The sequence below is a fragment of the Homo sapiens genome, chromosome 6 (assembly GCF_000001405.40).
Source record: "Homo sapiens chromosome 6, GRCh38.p14 Primary Assembly".
Lineage (NCBI taxonomy): Eukaryota > Metazoa > Chordata > Mammalia > Primates > Hominidae > Homo > Homo sapiens.
In genome coordinates, this window is record NC_000006.12 from 70,257,253 (window position 1) to 70,278,755 (window position 21,503).

At 36.0% G+C, this 21,503-nt stretch overlaps 1 protein-coding gene across 10 annotated transcripts in view, besides 2 other annotated features; it reads right to left on the reverse strand.

Annotated features, from left to right (window-relative positions):
- COL9A1 (collagen type IX alpha 1 chain) overlaps positions 1-21,503 on the reverse strand; it is an 88,024-nt gene that overhangs the window by 42,192 nt on the left and 24,329 nt on the right. For all 10 annotated transcript variants that reach the window (NR_165185.1, XM_011535429.4, XM_017010246.3 and 7 more), the window contains 10 exons: positions 17,467-17,520; positions 16,795-16,830; positions 14,813-14,836; positions 14,403-14,456; positions 13,062-13,115; positions 12,381-12,413; positions 11,552-11,608; positions 9,465-9,518; positions 5,992-6,045; positions 3,405-3,458 (listed from right to left, as the gene is read on the reverse strand). Coding sequence is in view for 9 of the 10 variants with exons in the window: in XM_011535429.4 (XP_011533731.1) it covers positions 3,405-3,458; positions 5,992-6,045; positions 9,465-9,518; positions 11,552-11,608; positions 12,381-12,413; positions 13,062-13,115; positions 14,403-14,456; positions 14,813-14,836; positions 16,795-16,830; positions 17,467-17,520 (474 nt within the window). In the remaining variant the exon portion in view is untranslated. The remainder of the gene's footprint in view (positions 1-3,404; positions 3,459-5,991; positions 6,046-9,464; positions 9,519-11,551; positions 11,609-12,380; positions 12,414-13,061; positions 13,116-14,402; positions 14,457-14,812; positions 14,837-16,794; positions 16,831-17,466; positions 17,521-21,503) is intronic.
- Positions 10,320-10,520: a silencer, noted in NCBI's record as "peak5887 fragment used in MPRA reporter construct". NCBI's record gives its function as "represses an SCP1 promoter by STARR-seq MPRAs in K562 erythroleukemia cells {active_cell/tissue: K562}" and the evidence as "EXISTENCE:reporter gene assay evidence [ECO:0000049][PMID:32103011]".
- Positions 13,072-13,181: an enhancer, noted in NCBI's record as "active region_24730". NCBI's record gives its function as "activates an Ori minimal core promoter by ATAC-STARR-seq in GM12878 lymphoblastoid cells {active_cell/tissue: GM12878}" and the evidence as "EXISTENCE:reporter gene assay evidence [ECO:0000049][PMID:35858748]".

Consider the following 21,503-nt stretch of genomic DNA (forward strand, 5'->3'; position numbering starts at 1 on the left):
ATTTCACCATGTTGGCCAGGATGGTCCCAATCTCTTGACCTCATGATCTGCCCACCTTGGCCTCCCAAAGTGCTGAGATTACAGGCGTGAGCCACTGCACCCAGCCCAGTCTGTATGTTTTAAGTTAACACTGCACCCATCCTCAGTTGCTGACATGAGCTAAAAACACAGGTGCTTATTAATAGATTGGTAAATCTATTAGAAGAAGTTTGGTAGCCACTCTCCAGGGTTCTTAACATTTCTATAGAAATTAATTAACCGCCAGGTGGGGGGATCACATGAGACCAGGAGTTCCAGACAGCCTGGCCAACATGGAGAAACCCAGTCTCTACAAAAATACAAAAATTAGCCGGGTCTGTTGGCACATGCCTGTAATCCCAGCTACTCAGGAGGCTAGAGCAAGAGAATCACTTGGGCCCGAGAGGAGGAGATTGCGTTGAGTGGAGAGAGCACCACTGCACTCCAGCATGGGCGACAGTGTGAGACCCTGTCTCAAAAACACACACAAAAAATTTATTAACGATGAAGGCCATGGAGCCACTCTAAGAACAGCTGCTATACTCTGTTGCTGCCACAACTGTGAGAGGGATTTCTGGGACTCTGGATCTCCCATCAAGATCTGGAATAAGAAGTCCAGCCACATGATTCAGAAGAATGAATTACTGGAAGGACCTGAGCATACCCTCTTCCATCCTGGACAGATATTAGGTTCAATTTATATAAAGTAACCGGCCTATTTTCTCAAGAGCAGATCCAGTCTACCAAGTGATGACATAAGAATGACTCAGAGCTTTATAAATCTAATTATCTTGAAATAATCTCTGATGTGGCTAACATATTGTACACTATCACCTCTTTATTTTCATCATGAGAATCAAAATGTGATATTAAGATCTTAAAAAGTGTTTTTAGTGCTCTCTACATATGCTATCTGACAAAATATAACCCCTATCTTTATTTTTCTTATCTACTAAGTGAATAAAAAGGCATAATGAGGCAGCCTTCTAATGAACCAAGTTGAGATGAGAAGATGATAAAATAAATGAAAAACAATCAAGAGTACTGGATAGATGTCAGGCCAAGAAATCAAATGTCAAATTTGAATCAAGTGTCAAATCAAGAAAACCAGGTGGACGGCATGTGTAGTAAGAATTAAAAATTAGAAAATCCATGATAGAAGGTTCAGACATAGGTAGAATCAAAGAAGGAACTCAACTGAAGCAGAGGTACCAGAGAGCCCTGAAATTCTTTGATCCCTAAAAAGTAGGACAGAGCAAAAAGCATTCTACACTCACCAGAGAAGAAGAGATTTTGAAGACCTGAAAAAGACCTTGAATTTATCATTCACCTTGCATTACAAGAGCAGAACCCAGCCTTTGCATTATAGACGTGGCTTTGATGCACTCTCTCTCTCTCTCTTATTGCTGTTCAGCATGAGCTTAGACCCAAACTGCTGTTACTAGGTAACCACTCCATGGGTCTGAGTTCACAAGAAGAGCTTTTTTTTCTTTCTTTTTTAAAGCAATTTGACAGAACTTAGAGGAAATGAGAAGTTTTGAAAAATACCAAATGGAAAAATATCTCAAATGAAGACCATATCAAGAACAGTAATTGGTTTCAAAGTGAGGGGTCACATATTCTAGGGGATGATTTAAATCCAGAAAAAAATGAAGGTATCAGCAACTTGAAAATAAATGGGATCTATTGTCTGATAAAAGAAAAGACACACAGTGAATGTTACTTAAGGTGACATAAATATAGAAATATGAATGCATCTAATATGTTTAACAAATACAAAGTTTTCAGAAAAGAAATATTGATTGAAAAGATGGATAAGGAAAGCAAGCAGAATGAAAATACCTAGAAGTGACAAACAGCCTGGAAAAAAAACATTAAATTGACAAAAAAATGATAAATAAGCTTCATCCTTCATTCACCAAGCTGTGCATCTCTTTTTTAAAAAGAAAAATTTAATTTCATTTATTGAGCATGTACAACGTACAACGTATTGTTAATTAACTGTTAATAAAAGGCTCTGTGCTGCTGGGGGAACTGACACCAATTAACCATAGAAGTTATAAAGAGAATGAGGTCAGGGTCAGAAGTGACAGTGGGCAAAGATGCCTTTTGTATTTTCTGGAGCCTATAAATTAACTTTCCTAACATCCAAGAAGTGGTAACCATTTTCTTAAAATCTGATAGAGAGGCTAAACACACCCCTACACACCCTACACACACGCCAAGGAAAACACTTCTGAACGCATCATGATGATGCTGTGATGATAATCACTCAGCTAAACATAGCCTGTCCTTCATCCTCCACCAACGGCAACACCTCATCCTTCCAGGCTCCACATCCTTCTAATGCCACCTCCTTCATGGGCCCTCTCAGTTTCCCTATCAAGATTAGCCCTGCTTCCGCTCCACTCCATCATACCACTGGCTCTCAGATTCATGTCTCTTTTGCTTGCATTGTAGTTAACTAACTACTTATTTGTCTTGCCCAATAAATAACTGACTTGATAAAGGTCTTATTCCCCTTGGAATCTCCCCAGCAGCCTGCGGAGTGCCTTGGTATGGAAGTGCTGGGGGAATCTGGTTTCTGAGACTGGGCTAAGGGCAGGCTAGTGTCCTCCAGCCATAAGTGTATAACCCATGCTAAGGGCAGGGCTCATGGATCAGCTTGCAGGTGGGTCACTGGAGGCTCCAGTGTCTTTGGGGATGTCCTGCCTTGGCTTACCTCTCCTTTTCCATCCTCCCTGTCTTTGCCTTGCCTGACCAGAAGCGCTCCAGGCACTGTGCCAGTGTTATCAAAGCTAACCACTGATCATGACAATGAGTTAAAATGTAACAACCTTGTTTACTCTGATTTACTCAATATAATTTAAAATAAATTAAGACATGGCAAATATCATGCATACTGCTCATTCCTATTATCTGTGCTTACAACAGAATTGTGAAAACCTAATCACACATCTACAAAGCATCATAAAATATCATGTTGTTAGGCTGGGCGCGGTGGCTCACACCTGTAATCCCAGTACTTTGGGAGGCCGAGCCAGGTGGATTACCTGAGGTCCGGAGTTCAGGACCTGCCTGGCCAACATGGTGAAACCCCGTCTCTACTAAAAAATACAAAAATTAGCCGGGCGTGGTGGCAGGCGCCTGTAATCCCAGCTGCTCTACTCGTGATGCTGAGACAGGAGAATCGCTTGAACCCAGGAGGCAGAGGTTGCAGTGAGCCAAGATCGCGCCATTGCACTCCAGCCTGGGCAACAAGAGTGAAACTCCATCTCAAAAAAAAAAAAAAAAAAGTTGTTGAAGATAAAAAGTTATGTTTAAACGGCCAAAATTTTAAATATTTAACACATTTTGGTATTATATTATTGTCATCACCATCTTACTTTTTCCCCTTTGTCCCCAACTATGCCGGTGATGCCTCGCAAACCCTGGGCTCCCTGGAAATGTGAAAAAGAGAAGTGAATTATTTTAGTTGAAGCAAAGATTTTTAAAAATCTCATCACAAAAGCTGATCTAGACAATGGATATTATCATAACCAAAGGTAATACCAAGAAATAGTAACTATATATATATAGACAAACATTTCTAGTTTAGAAAGTCCAAGGAGAATTCTTCTGATGGTAAACCTTTTTATAAAATTCTGAAGTCTTACACAAAACTGGAGTTGACAAAATCACTTATGACAAAAAAAGTAAATACCAGCATAAGAGAAATTGTGATAATATGTTTGACTTACCTTTTAACTTGTATGTAGAACTTACACTATCATTCCCACTTCCTTCATGGCATGTAACCTGGTTACATGTAACATGATTTTAAACCTTGAAATAATTTTTTTCTCACCAATGGACACCATCAAAAGCAGTAGGTTCCCAGGCTAGCCCACGAAAGCCTATAACCTAGAAAGGAGCTGGAGCCTCCATCAATCCCTTGTAGTCACTATTCATTATACCATTCTTATGATGAAAGGCATTCTGAATTCCAACTCGGGGCAATAGGAACCCATCTTAGTCATAAGAGTGGATAATCCTAAAAATGAGGGGCGGGGTGTGATTTCTAGGATCTCTTTCAATACTGAAATGTTACCATTCTGGACTCTCTGGCCCCCATACTAGGAGGGATCCAGAAATGGATCCTGGAAGGAGTGAGCTTGGGAATACCCTTGGAAGCAGAGGAGGGTGGATGCTCCATTAGGAAAGTGGGGGTAGCTACTTCTGGACAACCTGCTAACTGTCCCCATTGGCTTAAGATAAAGGAGCTCTAGGCCAGCATTTCCCTCTTCTTCTCACTTAGAGAAAATGGGGCAAGTCCATGACCAACTCTTCATTCAGACCAGTCACAAATTCTATGTAGATCAGTCAGGAATGACCTCCAATTCAAATATGCAGGATGATCCAGTTTAGGATATCCATTTAGAATATCGAGTGAGATGTGGCCATATCAGATGAAAGCTGCTCTTTCTTGTGTAGCTCATTTACTGACTCTAAAGTTATTTCTACAAAAAGAAATATTTGGGTCAATAGCAATGACACGAGAATACCACATATTTTCTCTTGAGGTGTCTACTTTGAAGAACAGAGCTTTTTCTAAATATTCCAAGAAGCATATTTGTTTAAGTTGTGCATTACTTTATATTTGTGCATGTACATTTAAAAAGTACATGCTTTTTAAATTTGGCATACCTATTCCCAAATAGCAGGAGGTAATCAAGCACTAACGGATATCCCCCAATGGACCACTTGAGCCACGCAGTACCCAACATAGATCCTTAATCCCTGAAAATACTGTTTTAGAATGTTGTTTGCAAAACCCTGTTTTGAGAATCTTTGGGAATGGCTTTTATAAAATTTTTTTAAAAAACTTTAAATCCCTACCAAATTTTCATCAGATCAAAAAAAAAAAGCATATGTCTCTTACACCATGTATCCTTATCTCCTACCTGCGAAAGAGTCCAGCTCCTAGTGTCTCATATGGCAAACACTCAGGGGAGGGCAAACTTCTGAAATAAACACCCTAGACACCACAGATTCCCTGAAAGTTCTCATGTGGCTTGAAAGCAGAGACCATTTCTTCCAGATCCTCTGACTTACTTCCTTTAACTTAATTTCCCTTACACTTTAAATTCCCTTACACATTAATCTGCACAGCTCGCTGAACCCTTTTTAAACAGCCAGTCCTGTGGAGAAGAGCAGAGCAGGTGAATGGTGTTCCTGTGTTTGTCTTCAATTCATCAGTTTCTAAGAATAGTACCTGAGCTCGTCTTCTATAGAGTCTATAACCTGGCTAGCTGCAATGTTTAACTAATATTCTTCAATTATTATTTCCAAAATTGTCATTACTCATTTTAACAGGAAAAAAAGTGTAACAACTCCATTTTAATGTAATACAAAATAAGGCAAATTCTGATTTAACAACATTTGAAATTGAAGTTTGATGATGCCCCAAATCACCTTACTGTGAATATTATTGCAGAAATCTGCTAAAGCACGAGGGACCAATTTTTTATTAAAAGACATGATATGAGCAATTAAGAATGTTTTAATTAATTATAATGATTGCATACTGGAATAAGCTACATTAATCCAATAAATGATATACCTACTGCATATTTAGAACACACAAAATTTTCTCATTATATCATGTGATAATACGATAGAACATAAAAGATGAGTATCATCCTTTTGTGCTTAGTATTTGCTTTTCAATTGCCTGGCCCTGAAATCTGGTAAATGAATGTATGTAAATTATAGGTAGAATTTTTCTGTTAAAAAAGTGCTAGAATATATAATGAAGACCCTCTCCTATTTTGAAGAAGTAGTTATCCCCCAGTGCTGGCGTGGTGGAAAATAGAGGACACCAAGTTCATGTAATGCTATTCATCCAACTGCTAAATAGAAAATATTCCAACAGTCATGAAAAAAAAGAATATTTACATATCCTAGTTAAATATTTTTTAAAAAATACTTTACTGGAGGTCCTTGAGCTCCAACTTCTCCGAGTTCTCCCTGGTCACCTTCTTCACCCTAAAGAAAAAAAAGAAAAAAGAAAAGCACACCAAATGTTATTCTAGCAAACGAACATAGAAATAGGCTTGGTCTAACTCATTATGTTTTAAGTTAACTTGGTGACTCCTGAATTATTCTACTTTCTTAAATTATTTATATGGGTAGTCCAAATTAATTGTAGAACATTCAGAAAATACAGAGAAGCCTACATATAAAAAGTCACCAAAATACCACCATTTAACTATAAAATACCAGTAACATTTAGATGTTATTCTTTCAAAGTTTTTCTAAAGTGGGGGAAAGAGGAAGAGAGACAAAGATATCAAGAAAAATAAAGAGAGATAGAGAGAGTAAAGTTACTCATTTATGTTCCAAGTGTGTGTCAAATGGGGGGGATTTATTATTAGAAAAATGTAATTATACTATGAAAACTTTTTTGTAAGCTACAATATTTTTCATCGTGATTTTTATTTTAGCTTTTCTTATTATAATTTTTGCACCATATACAATATTTTAATGTAAATCAGCCATTTCTTTCATGGGTTATACCTCCTGATGTCACTCATAGAAAAGCCTTTTCCACTCTAAAAATATACATTTATTTATATTTTTGCTCTATTTCTTCTTACATAGAAATCTGTAATTACCCGTAATTTGTTTGGATGTAAAGCAAAACGTATACATCTTTTTTCTTTTTTCTTAGTAACGGGCCACTCTTCCAATAATAGATTCTCTCCACACAGTTTTCAAAATTCATCCTTAACATATACTAAATTGTTACTGGCTCTAAACTTTGATTCTGCTCTACCGATCTACTATATGATGTTGCCAATGCCACAACATGTTAATTACTGAAATTCTATAATACATTTTAATCTCAGGTAAGGAGAATTCCCTTATCTTTATTTTTCATTTATAGTTACTCTTATTTTTTAGATTTCCTAAATGTTTACTCTTCCAAATAAACTTTAGAATCATTGGACAAATCTTCACAGAGTCTACTTGCTTTGTACTAGGACTGCATTAAATTAATAAATTAATATGGCAAGAGTTAAAACCTTGACAATATTGAATCATTTATCTTGATTTTTTAAACAAATTATGAGAGTCATACATATTGGTTTTAGCCTCATAATTATATTCAGATTATATTTCACTAGAATCTATGACTGACAGTGGGAAGAGGCAGTCCCAATAGGAAAGCCAGAGAATTAGCTAGTTCTTGGCACAGATAATCATCATGTGTGCCTAATTAAATTCTACTTCTATTTCCCTACAAAAATATAAAACTAGATACAAAACAGCAGTGATTGATATGTCCACTGAAATTTTTCCATAACAAGGTACAGGGTATTTTCCATAGATTCTCCATAAACTTTGGAGTAATATATTTGAATTGTTTCACCTACAGGTGAAAACCAAACAACTAATCCATAATTATGAAGTTTAGGAGTAGCAATTTATTATCATTTCACTATGATTTTTGCATAAGTATTGACCTGCTGTATGATGTTACAAATACCACAACATTTTGATTATTGAAATTTTACTATTAATTCCTATATTCATAAACAGTTTTAAAGATCTTCATTAACTAATTTGGGTAAAATTCAAGGCAAATTTGTGAATTTGAATCCAAACCTCAGGCCTCCAAGCTCTTACCATTCTGTTTTCAGTTTCAGTTCAGTCTATCTGCTCAGCCTTTCAAGGTTCATTCTGCAATGAGCTATGGCCATCCTATCGATTTTCAAAGACATCACTTACACTTTTAAGTGACACTAAAATGTAAAATAAATCAAAGAAATTTTCAACAACCTTCAAAGTAAATTTTGGCCAATTACTTGACATGCCAAAAAAAATTGTAGGTTTTCCACTGAACATCAAACCAAATTTGAGAATCTAGATAATTAACTTGTTTAAATATTAAAAAGACTACTTTCATGGGAAAAGTGGAGAGGCATCTGGATTAACAGCTCCATCTCCAAATCCTGTGGGATGGGGGAGTGAAAATTCCCCAAAGGAAAGCATCATCAAAAGAAGGAGAAAGGGATACAAACATCAAAAATAACAGAAGTCTACTACATCTGCTTTACTGCATAGAATACCTCATGAATATCTTTTGATGTAATTTAATATTCGTACACACTTGTTTTTTGTAGTTAACTACTACTCTATTATTATATGGCTATGACATATTTAATTTAGTCCCCTGTGCTTGTACTTTTTTTTTTTTTTTTGGCTTCTGTGCCCCCAGTGCTCAGAATAACCCTAGCACATAGCAGGTACTTTATATTTGTCAAAACTTTTAATGACAATTTTTAAGATTCAATGGAAGAATGATCATACAGAGAAATTTCCAAAGCACTTGGGTTTTTTTCCTATTTTCTCCAATTTGACATTAGGAACCCAGCTGTTATATTTCAGATAAATAAAATGCCTTAACTATCACAGCCTATGTAATAAGAGACTTTTAAAATAAATGTCCAAACTGTAATAGGTTACAGAAAATTGGTCTATTTATCCTGATTGCTTGAGGCTATTTAACAAACTGATTTTTAGCTAAGAAGTTCAAGGGTATTAATGCCTGAAGACACTGATAAATTGCCTCTTGAGTTCTTGACTTCCAAAGAATAGACTAACCTTCTATCACTACCCAATAAAGGGGTAGAAGGACATAGTCAACAAAGTCAAGAGGACCTGCATTAATAAGAACAACTTAACTTTGTAAAATATTATCAAATTTACCAAGAGAAAACCTACTATGCAGGAAGTCAAATTCTTAGATACTCTTACACTAGTGGATGAAAAGAGGGCAAATATGTTACCTTGCTTTAAATCCCAGCCTTAGTTTTTCTGCAGGGCATGCCAGCTGCAATGCAAATTGTGCTGTGGATTCTATTTCTATGCAGATAATAACGTAAGTTATTACTAACCTCCAGCTTACTCAGAATCTAGGTTATATTGAAATGAGGTCAGAAATAAATAGATAAATTGTTTCAGAACTTGAGATGAGAAGCTATAAGCCAATTACCAACTTCTCTGTTTGCTAGTCTCAGCAACACTTGTCATAAAATTTTACAAATGTCATAAAATTTTGTCTGGTGAAGTGGAACAACCGTCTGAATAATGTTGGACTATCATAGCATCAAGGAAAAAAGCTGAGTGTGATTGATTTGAAAAGAAAAGAAAAGGTAGTGACAGAAAAAAATGAAAATGTCTGGTGCCTTATTTGTAAGTGTTTTATTGTAAATGAACAACTTCAGAATATGATATTTAGTCAAATATTGATGCATCTGCTTAGAACTTATCAATCATTATTTAAAAAAGAATGGTAAAATATCGAGGTTCATTATTTCCTATAATTCCTAATTTCTTATAATGAAAGTGACCAATAACTCCTAATCACAATTTATCCACTAAATACCCATTTTCCTTACCTTGTGTCCTTGTCTTCCTGGTTCACCAATTTCTCCTTTAGCCCCTTTATGACCCTAACAAATGCAAAATAAGTAATTGTCTTGAGTTTGGTACAGAAAGTGATCAGAAGGCTCATAAAGTGATCCTGCTTCCCTAAATCAGTGCCAATGTATTACTAAGAAATGAGTTATGTCACAAAGAAAATTAATGCCTTAAATGACCTTAACAGCACCATGACTGCCATATATAATTAATATCAGTTTTACTTAATAGAAAAACACTGCTCTAGAATAATACACTTCATTACCTAGTTCAGCAATGTGATTCATTGATACTTGCCTGCTATTTCCTAGATCCCTATTCCCTATTTCTCCAACTTCCTCACACGGGTTAGGAGCATTAAGTCTTCTCTAGTTCCGGTAACTTAACCTTTCAGAAGTGACAGCCTTGACCAAGCTCAGCTGGCTATCCCCTGCCCTCTGAAGGCTGCTCTGAAAACCCTTCGGCCTCCTCCATTCCCACCTCCTTCCTGATGGTGGAGGAAGGCCTGGTGTAAGTGGACTTTCTCGGATGCACAACTTTCTGCCTCTTTCTCTGTACATTTTTTGTTGTTGTTTGTTTGGTTTTTTTGTTTTTTTTTTTTGAGATGGAGCTTCGCTCTTGTTGCTCAGGCTGGAGTGCAATGGCGCGACCTCTGCTCACCGCAACCTCCACCTCCTGGGTTCAAGCAATTCTCTTCTCTCAGCTTCCCGAGTAGCTGGGATTACAGGCGTGTGCCACTATGCCCGGCTAATTTTGTATTTTTAGTAGAGACAGCGTTTCTCCATGTTAGTCAGGCTGGTCTCGAACTCCCAACGTCAGGTGATCCACCCACCTCGGCCTCCCAAAGTGCTGGGATTACAGGCGTGAGCCACCGCGCCCGGCCTACTGTGTACAGTTTTTAAGTGCAAAGGGAAAGCAATAAAGGGCAGTGGGTGAAAGCTGCATTGGATGAAAATATCCCTATCTTTTCTTGTCAGGCCACTTGTCCTAAGCACGTGTGTGCTTTGTAACAGGAGACAAAACTGTGAGACAAGCGTTCCAAAATGAAAACTGTCGGAACTTTCACCCCTCAAAGAAATCTTTTTGAAAAATAGGACACCAGTCCAGGCTGAATCTTCTGCAGTTGAGGGAACCCACCAAAACTACCCTTAGAAAAACTCTAATGGAAAATCAGTGCCTTCGGGCCTTTCAGATCACAGCAGAGCTCCATTGGTCTGGAATGTCCCAAAATCACTTTAGACTGAGAGACTAGAGAGAGAGAAAGCTATTTATCCCCAGAATTTGGTATTTATTTTTTGTTTGTATGGAAAACTTTCAAGTAATTACGGTGGCAGACAGAGAAAAATACTTTGGGAAAGTCTCTTTTCCTGACTATTTTGCACAGTTTTTCAAAATTTTTTTAACTGAAAGTTTTCAAATACATTATGTACACAACCCCCTCCAACTGCCCCCACCACTCACTATCTTCCTTAATAGGAAGCACTTTTTTTTTTTGAGACAAGGTCTCCCTCCACCACCCAGGCTGGACTGCAGTGGCACAATCATAGCTCATTGCAACCTTGACTTCTCGAGCTCAAGTGATCCTCCCACCTCAGCCTCCCGAGTAGCCAGGACTACAAGTGCATGCCACCATGCCTAGCTAATTTTTTATTTCTTGTAGAGACAGGGGTCTCCCTCTGTTGTCCAGGTTGGTCTCAAACTCCTGGGTTTAAGCAATCCTCCCACCTTGGCCTCCCAAAGTTCTAGGATTACAGGCATGAACCACTACACTCAGCCAGGAAGCAAACTTCTGAATCTTACTTTGGTGTTCTAAAGTCTCTCAATCCAATGTATTTTATTGGTATTTCTTCCCTGAACTAGAAAGCCATCCTATGATTAAACCTCCATGTCTTGGTAGGAATACAGGAATACATGTCAAGGGCAACTGGAATTGCTAGGACTGAATAAGCACTACTTGCCTGATCATCCAAGTGGGGTCTCTGCACCAGGAAGGCTAATGCTTAAAGTAAAGGCTCCATTTTATCTGTGGATAATACTCTTAAAATACTGGAAGTTATTCTCTTACCCTCATGCCTGGTAGGCCTGGATATCCTGAGCGACCTGGTGGACAGGCATTGGGACACTGCCAGGGAGAGAGGGAACAAAGAGAAAGAAAGACAGACAGAGTGCATAAACTAGGACTCCCGCTTTGTGACAGTATCTTTTTTAAGGGATTCCAGTTACAGAACTCCATTGCAATAATATTCATTGAATAATTCTAAACACCCCTTTCCTTTTTATTATTATTATTTCACATTTAAAGCCAGAAATATTTCTAGCTAACAGAAAAGTGTAGAGAATATAATACCCTCCCCCATGAATGTACCATCCAGATTTAATAAATGTTAATATTTTGCAAAATTTATTTCAAATCTAATTTATTAAGGAAAATATGTTTACAGATAACCTATTGTACCATGACAGGATTCATTTCCCCTTCCCATTCCACTAGACTAGCCCCATCCTGAGGTTCGTGTCTCCAATCAAATGGGCCAACATTGCATTTAGTGTACATTACCACCATCATTGGACTGTTAATCTGTGAGTAAAACAAATCCTAGAGGAAGTTATTTGAACTCTATCTCTTTAAAACCTGGATGCTCTAGTGAAAAGCATGTCTTAGTCATAAAGTAAAAAGATCATAAAAGAACAAAGATACATCTATAATGAAAAATTATTAGTCTGAGTAGATGCAAGCCACTAGTCCACTAGCGTTACAGACTGCTCTGCCATTTGAGTGAAAGGAAAACACAGACACATAGAATATTCCAGGGAAATCTTTTAAAGAAAACTCATCTGCAGGCTATATGGTCTTTGAATTAAAACTATATTTTGTTCAAAGGAAAGCATCTTACCAATGGATCTCCATCATGAAAGCCAATTGTTCCCTAAAGTAAACAAAATATTAAGGTTCAGAATACAATTAAATAATGAATTCAAACATACTAATACTAGAAAGCTCATCAGGCAAAAGTATAAAATATATTTGTTTAATAAAATATAAGAAACCAGATAATATGCTAATATTCTAAAATCCTGACTCATGGGCATGTTCTCTTTGGAGAGCCATGAATTGCAGTAGATTATTTTGGGAAGACATTGAAGGGAAACGAAATAAGAGGCAAAATAGAAAATGTGGGGAACTCTGAATTACAAATAAAAATATGAATTACCTTCCATTTAAACTCATATTCTTTAAATTTTTCTTACTATGAAAACCTTTGTAAAAACTAGTTCATTTGAAAATGCTTCATTTATATATCTAAGTTTTGAGCATTTGAGACATCACAACTGTCAAAAGACTTCAAAAGTAATGAGTAAGATATACCCTATAAAAACCACCTTTTAAATTATTGTGATTCTTCTACTTCTTGCCCTAAACAGAACCATGCCCTTGAGTGCATGGAAAAATTGATAGCCGTTTTGGAAATTTGGGACAATGACTCAATTAATAGGAACTTCCATTTTGGATTCTTAGATTTTTTTCAACCCTGACTCTCAGACACAAACAGAAATTCAAGCTGCAAATAACTTACTCTGGGTCCTGGGGGGCCAGGGGGGCCAGGTGGTCCTCTTCTCCCAGGGTCACCCTAAGTTATTTGAAAATTGCGACACAGTGGTTATACATGTGTCAAAACACAGTACATAAAACCAGTGAGGCATAAGAGAATGGTATTACTGGAAACCCCCACCGAGCTCAGCCATGCATAGACCTGCCACCAAAATCGATGGGTGGCCCGTAATCCAATTAGTTCTACAAAATGAGAGTAATAAAGGCATTCCAGTCTCACCGAGGTAATAAAACAAGTCAGAGAGAAGCTAGGGGAAAAAGCAAAGCCAATTCTTCTCTATCAGACAAACATTTTATCTACTCTGAAAGCAAATTGGAAACACTACTTATTTTTCTGGTTGATTTACAGAGGACCTAGAGCAACCTATACTGCTAGTGCCATTCTGCTAACCAGTGCAAAAGAAGGTTTGCACTCAGTCTGAAACTGTGGAATGGAAGGTTAATCTCTGCAGTGCCTGACTCTTGCAAGTGCTGTTCACCCACAATCTATCACTTGGTCTGTCACTGCACCTCTTGCAATGAGTCAGAAAATCAAAGAAAGCTACATCGAAGTAAACCGTTCAGATGAAAATGGGTTCCAATTACTCTTAACATCCAATGTTTACTCTTGGCACATTTTCCTTCTTGATGTTCTGCCATAAAGAGTCGGAAGCACCTCCCAATTATTTTAACTTTACAATCATTTCATATTCATTCACTTGTTCACTAAATAAATTTGCAAACAGTAAGCACATGTAGAGGAACAAACAAGGTATATGATACATGGCTCCTTCCCACAGTGAGTTTACAATTACGCGCCTTCACATAACATCACTATGTCAACGTTTTTGAAATGTTTACTTAATATCAATATGAAGCATTTTATATGAGACATTTTTTATGAAGCCCAGCTCTTTAATGTTAAAAGTTAAATTTTGTTGGCTGAATTATAATTTAATGATCCTAACATAAATACACATGGTAATAATTTTAGGCTATTCACTTTTATTTCATGCAGGGAGCCTAATACAAAAGCCACTAGACTCCAGTCCTGGCTGAGAGTCTGTAAAATGAGGACGACACTCTCTTACTTGACAATCTGGAAGTTGGGAAGAAAAGTTTAGCTGAAAAATTTAGGAAAAAATTAAAATCACTCTGCAAAAATTATTATTATTCCTGGTTCACATCAATATTATAAACTGGAATGAAATTCATCTGCCATGTTTTGGTTTGCAAGTGGAAATGTACAGTTAGGGTAATTTGCTTTCCCAAATAACATCTTCTATTAAATCAGCAAACGTCTATCAAAGTGCACTGTGGTACTCACAACAGGTCCTACACGGCCAAGCTCTCCAGGGAGTCCTGCTGTCCCAGGAGGACCCTGAAGTCAACAAATCAAAGCAAATGGTCATTTATGAATATTTTTACAATCTATCATACATTATATCAAATATGATAAATATTAGATTTACATTTCTGTATTAGCTTTGGTTTCCAATGACACAATAACTCATTTGACCAAACTTTAATTACTTAAGATACAGCAGAAATTTCCTAAATTAATAAATATTTTGTTTAGCAGAATAAGGGTGTTATCCTTAGTAGCCACCTAAGATCTTGCAGGTAGAACACTGTAAACACCACTGAGTAGACCGTTAGTAGGAGAATAAGGTGGGGATTTGAGAAATAGGACATTTTTATAGACTGCATAAAAATAAATGATGAAGTGATACTTACAGGGGGTCCAGGAATACCACGGCCCTAAAAGAGTACAATAAAAATGGTTATAGCTTGAGGTTTATACTTAGTATAAATATGAATGTAGACATAACTCAGCTAAAATAAACCATAAACTCTATTACTAAAAATGATGCTCATTCTAAAGAAAGCACTGAATAAAGAAAAGCAAACACGGCTCTGCTTCTACAGGAAGCAGAAGCTTATTTCAGCTCCTCTAACATTCCTTTGCTGTCTATGCTAACTGGGATTTTTCCAAACTTTTTTTTTTTAAGGAAATCAAAGTAAAGAAGCCTTCCATGCTTGCCCTCAGGAGAACTTACCATAACTCACAAAGAGGTGCATCACAACTGGAGAGTTTACAGATTTTATTCATTTGTAGCATTTTATAGGAAACCTACATTAAAAGCATTCTAGTTTTACAATCTATAATAAATTATGTTTAGAAGTTCCCCAAACATTCAGCACAGAGAGGCAGGGACAAAAAAGGGTCAGAAACACACCTCCCTTTTGAAAGGTTGGGCTATATTTTCAGACACTGAATCCAGTAGATATTGAAAATAAAATGGTGTCACTCCTGAAGTAACCTACAATGGGACGCTAATTTAATATGTTATATTTGATTTTTAAGATAGTCATTCTATTTTCTTCTTTACATTTATATCTCGTTAGCAACACCAAACTTTACATAATCAAGGATTGAACCACATCTTATTCATCTTCCTAGCCCCAACTCCTAGCACGGGGCCTAGCATATAACAAAACCTAATAATATGCTCGTTGAAATTAAAACTGAATATCAGCTGCCTAGATCTCTATTCTCTCTCTTTAATTTCCAAGTTCAATTTTTTCCCCTTGGGATTTCTCATTATTCTTTTCTCTCCTACATTGGTTAGAATGGTTTTTATTCACAGCTGTCTGTGATATGATATTCATGATAGCTTTTCACTCCAGACTGGCTTTTCTAAAATATGAATATACCAAGCATCCCATGGAATCAATGCACTGATAATGATATTATTATTTCTAATTAGTTGGACAGGAAAAACAAGCAAGAACTTCACATGGACAGTATGTTTTAATAATCAGTGGGATTTTAAAAGGCATTCCTGGAAAAAGGACTCCAGTTTGAACACTTTAATACATAGGTCAATTCAGGAAGTAAGTGTTGTGTTTGAAAACACCAAAGTAATCAATAAGTTCTTTCATTGTCAGAAACCTAGATGTTCAACAAATTTCACTAAACAAAAAGGCATCTCTATAAATTGTTGAGATTAAGAGTTGAGTTGAAAAATATGGGAGAAAGGCCAGCAAGCTGTTCACTTCTGAAAATAGGCTTATAATGGAAAAGTTGACATGCTGAAATATGGCAAAGAAAATAGCACAAATAGGAAAAAAGAAGAAAAAATACAGATTAATGACAAGAGTAAAAGTGGAACAAAGAGCAAAATAGATAGGAAAAGCAGCCTAAGAACCTGGTCCTCATATATACAAATAACACACACCTGCCATATTGTGCAAATGCAGAAAAAGACTAGCCAAGGAATCAGGCAAGTGATAATATCTGATTAGTCGATATTTCATTAGAGATAAAACCAGTTGTGAAGAATGTGGTGTGACACCATGGTCTAAACATTGAATACTTAGATATGCTGTTGTTATGCAAGAAGTGTTTTCTATCATGGCAGGTAAAGAGGGAATTGTCTGCTGGGAAATACCACCTGCAAATAGAATATATATTTTCTACTGTACATTCAAACTTCTCTAAAATTTTTCCACTCATAGTAGAAATGCTTACCATACCAGATGTCATCAACTTATTTCTCATGTATATTATGCAGAAAACTGCACATGTACCCTAAAACTTAAAGTATAATAATAAATAAATAAATAAATAAATAAATAAATAAAAAGATTTCACAATGGCAGAATTTTACCTAAAGATAGGAAATTTTCAATTCTGTAGCTTTACATTTACTTACTGGAAATCCACGCGATCCAGGCACACCAGGTTCTCCCTAAAAATAAAAATAGTTTCATTGTACTGACCTTTCATATCATGAATATGTAAATGTGAAAACTGCATAAATATTGAAAGCATTAAAACACCCCATTATGGTGTTTTTTTTTTTTAAATTTCCAACTTTTATTTTAAGTTCAGGGGTACATGTGCAGGATGTGCAGGTTTGTTACATAGGTAAACATGTTCCATGGTAGTTTGCTGCACAGATCATCCCATCACCCAGCTATTAAGCCTGGCATCCACTAGCTATTCTTCCTGATGCTCTCCCTCCTCCCACCCCCTATTTTCTGACAGGCCCCTGTGTGTGTTGTTCCCCTTCATGTGTCCATGTGTTCTTTTTATTCAGCTCCCACTTATAAGTGAGAACATGCAGTATTTGGTTTTCTGTTCCTGCGTTAGTTTGCTGAAAATAATGGCTTCCAGCTCCATCCACGTCCCTGCAAAGGACATGATCTTGTTCCTTTTTATGGCTGCATAGTATTCCACATCATGGTGTTTTTAAACACAATTTTAGTTGAACGAGTGCATTTTAGATACTTCATAACTTAATGTTAGTTGGCTTGCAAACACTGCAATAAAATTATACTTCAGCATTTTCGTACTAGCAATTAATGCCAGATGGCTAACTTACTTTTTGTCCCTTTGACCCAATGGAGCCAGGGGATCCATCAGGTCCTGTTAATCCCTAATAGAGCAAGACAATGATGTTAGAACTATCATAACATCCTTAGGCAAACCACTAAGTAGAAAACTTTCATTTTATTTATTAATTGTCTACAGGATGGTTACATAAGTATGATGCAAATATTTATAAAGAAATACCTTACTATAGTCTTACTCAAAAGTAAAGATTAACAGAAGATCTGCCTGTTGTGATTATTTCTTCTTGATAAGTTGTATCATACTCCTAACTTCCTGCTAACTGCATTGTTTATCACAGGGTTCAATAATTCAGTGTTTTTTGTCTCTGCTTTGGAAAAAAATGCAACATAGCAATTACAATGTTGTAATAGCTAAGACTGGTGGGTCTTGGTTCTGCCATTTACTCAGGTTTATTTACCTCCTTTACTTCATTTATGAAACAAAAATACTATGTATCTCTCTACAGGACAATAATCTCTTTCTACATGACAACAATGTCTTGGAAGTCAATAAAATATTTCCTCAATAAGAATTAAACACAAACAATCTCATTATTGCCTTATAGCCACTAACAGCCCCCTAGCCATCTTCTAGCAATGACAATTGCTTATCAAAGAATATTAATTCTTAAAGTAGAAACATTTGAAAGCATGCATGTTTCTACATTATTTTTCTTAGTAAAAATAGCTGTGATTAAGTATATATGTTCATGTATGCCACTCGGTATGTAAAATTTAAGCCTATTATTATAAACCACATTTATAATTATCATATTTAATACTAAAGCAGTTATTAAATACATATTCTAAACATTCTCATTTTCCCTACTACTACTTACTTTATCATCATCCTCAATATAAAACACGTATTAAAGAATGATAATATCACATATATACAAGAATTTCCATATTTGGTAAAGATACATTTCTATTTTTAATTTTTTTCTTTGCTCTTTGACACTTTCAGATGCTGTCATTTACAATGTAATCTTGAAAGTATACCTTCCTAAAGATAAATATGATATATATGTGTGTACATATACATACATGCCTATATAAGTATCTTATAAACCCTTTCTATTATCAAGATTTTGAAGAAGACCCAAACAATATTGACAGAGGGATCTCTTGAAAAATATGAAAGCCCTACTTAAAAATGGATCACCAAAATTCATATTTAGTCTGTCATGGTCTGAATAAACATCCATAAAATTCCTTCACATAATTCATATAGAAAACTAGTTCAGTGGCCACCATTTTTACATTTCTCTACCTTAATTAATTTTCCTAACAATGTCACAGAGTGAATCAAATAGAAAAAAATGAGTTGAAATGTTAATTACTGGAAATTTACCAAAGAAGAAAAATATTAAACACACACAAAAGAACTTTTGACAGACTGCCTTTGATTTTCAATAGCCCTAGTCTAATTACAACACCGTAATTTGGGAACAAACCTCAACATGATTAGTTGCTAAGCACCTATGGTAATGAAATGTTTGCTTTGGCATTTCACAAACAAACTATACATCCAGGAGCACTCTCTGGATGCACATATGGCATGTAAATTTTATAAACCTCTGGGCATATTTAACTAACTGATCCTCTAATTCTCACTTAATGCATAAACCCTCCAAGACCAATTCTGTTCAATTTTCATACACACAGTCAACTAACACTCTTCAACCTGTGACTGGAATAACTGACAAGATTGGAGGACAGTAACTATAAAGCAGAACCAAGTAAATAGTTGGATAACCTGGAAGCTGTTTTTCGGTTACTTCATATTAAAAATATCCTCCATAAGACATGCTAAATTATGTCAATCACTGGAAAGTTCTTTGAACTAAGTTGAAAATGGATTCTGGTGTCAGATGTTACAGTAACACCTGTTATGAAATAACTATGCAGAAAACCGTAAGCTCCATGAGGACAAGAGTCATATGTCCATTACAGTCCTAACATGTTGTCCTGGCATCTAACCACTCAAGATGTGATTACTGCCTACAATAAGTTTAAGGAGGCCTTCCAGGTGGCAGGATATTACACTTGTTCCTCCACAACATCTTTATATTCAGCTCAAATCCTGATCCTACTACTTAGCAGCTGTGGAATCATGGGCAAGGTCCCTAACTGCACAGTGTTCTAGACGCTGTTCCTCATTGAGAAAAGGTCCTACAAACAAACAAACCAAATCTAGGTATTAACCACAGCACTGTATTTCTTATCCTCATCACATTTCTTCAATGCCTGAATATTTGCACCTACACTGATCTTTTAGAATAATTTCTTAATAACTCACAATTCTAGTTATAAAGCATCTGCCACAGATAATAGTTGTATACATTCAGAAAATACATAGCACCTAACCTCTGCCTGTAAAAATTATCACAGTTTAGCTATAATTCTTATACTTTATTCTAATTCCTCTTCTGCTTATCTCATATGGGTGTTATAAGAAAGAATAAAATACTGTTTTTAAAGGTCTCTCTGAGCATGTCACAACAAATAGTACATATAAAAATATCTCTATTAATATAATTGCTGAGAACAGCACAGTTGTCCTAAGGTTAGGACCAAGTTCTGTCTTATCTAATTTTACATGTCCATAAGCCAAAAAAAAAAAATCAACTTAACCTGAAAAAAGGGCAGATTTGAGTTGAAATATACAGACCACACACATAATACATACATAATTTTCAAAATCCAGTTTGCAGTAAGACCTCCTAATTCTTATTTCAAAGAAATAAAAGAAGAAAACATTACCAGAGCAGAAAAAAGTGCCTTCATATGAATATTCATACAGACAAACTTCTATACATTATAACATTGAAGCTGACTGTGTTCTGAACTTCATGTTACTGTTTGGCAGAGAAAACCAGTCCTCAATGGAGATTTCCTTCCAGTATTCTGACAGCTCAGCTGGTAGGACTCAAGGCTTACTTCTACAAGCATGACTGCTATGACTCATTTACATTTTCTGCCAAAAATCCATTCAACATAGGATAATGAACACTGAACAGGGTTCCTTTCTGATTCTTTCAACCATCATCCAATTAACCATTTTTTAACATTATCAAAAAATAAGCCTTGTAATGACCCAAAGAGCAGAAGACGAAATGATTCGAGGTTTAAGGTCCTACCAGCACACTCAGGTTCACCTACCAAGAAAGGACTGTTGAAGCTCTCCTACTTACTTAGCTCCCCTATGGCCAAGGACAAACAAACAGCAAATTCTGACCCAGTTACTGCATTTCATTATTCTCAAAGATATCCATTCTCAATTTAGAATAAAAGATTTTTTTAATGTCAAATCAGTCAAAGAGTGGAATAAGAAAACTTTACAGTTCCAGATGCCTCATGTGGCTTAAATTCAAAAGTCAGGGAATATAAAACAAACCAATATTTATAAGTAATTATAAAATATCTATTACAAATGGCTGTTATTATCCATATCATTCTTCTTGATCGGTGACTTAGGTACTAAAAATTCACTATCACTTTTTCTCTCTGTTCTCGCTATTCTCTCTCATCTATTAAGATCGTCACTTGTATTCGCATGAGGCAGAATTGCCTGGGGAGTCTAAAAATCAAGAAATCTGGACTATTTTGTTATCTTAGCTACTAAATAGCTCTCTGAGGAAACCACTTGTCTTCATAATTATTGTTTCCTTATTTATGGAAAGTAATATTAGACTAATCTACTTTCCAGGTTATTGTTGGTTAAAAGAAATGTTTGTGGCAGTGCTTGAGGAAAAAGTTCTGTGTAAATGCAAATAGTATAGTTGATTTTTCCCCAAGATCTAGAAAATGCCTAAAATACTGGCAGATACAGGGATTTCCTTTTTTCTCCCCTTTCCTCTCTTTCTCTTTTGCTTTCCTCTCCTGTCTCAGCAGACTAAATGTGCTCATCATTTTTTCCTTGAGGTCAAAGTTCAATAATTTAAGGCAGCTTATTCTTTTATGTCTTTTAATATTTGAAATCTGGTTTATGCTGCACTGTGGGTCTGCAAATATAGACAAAGAA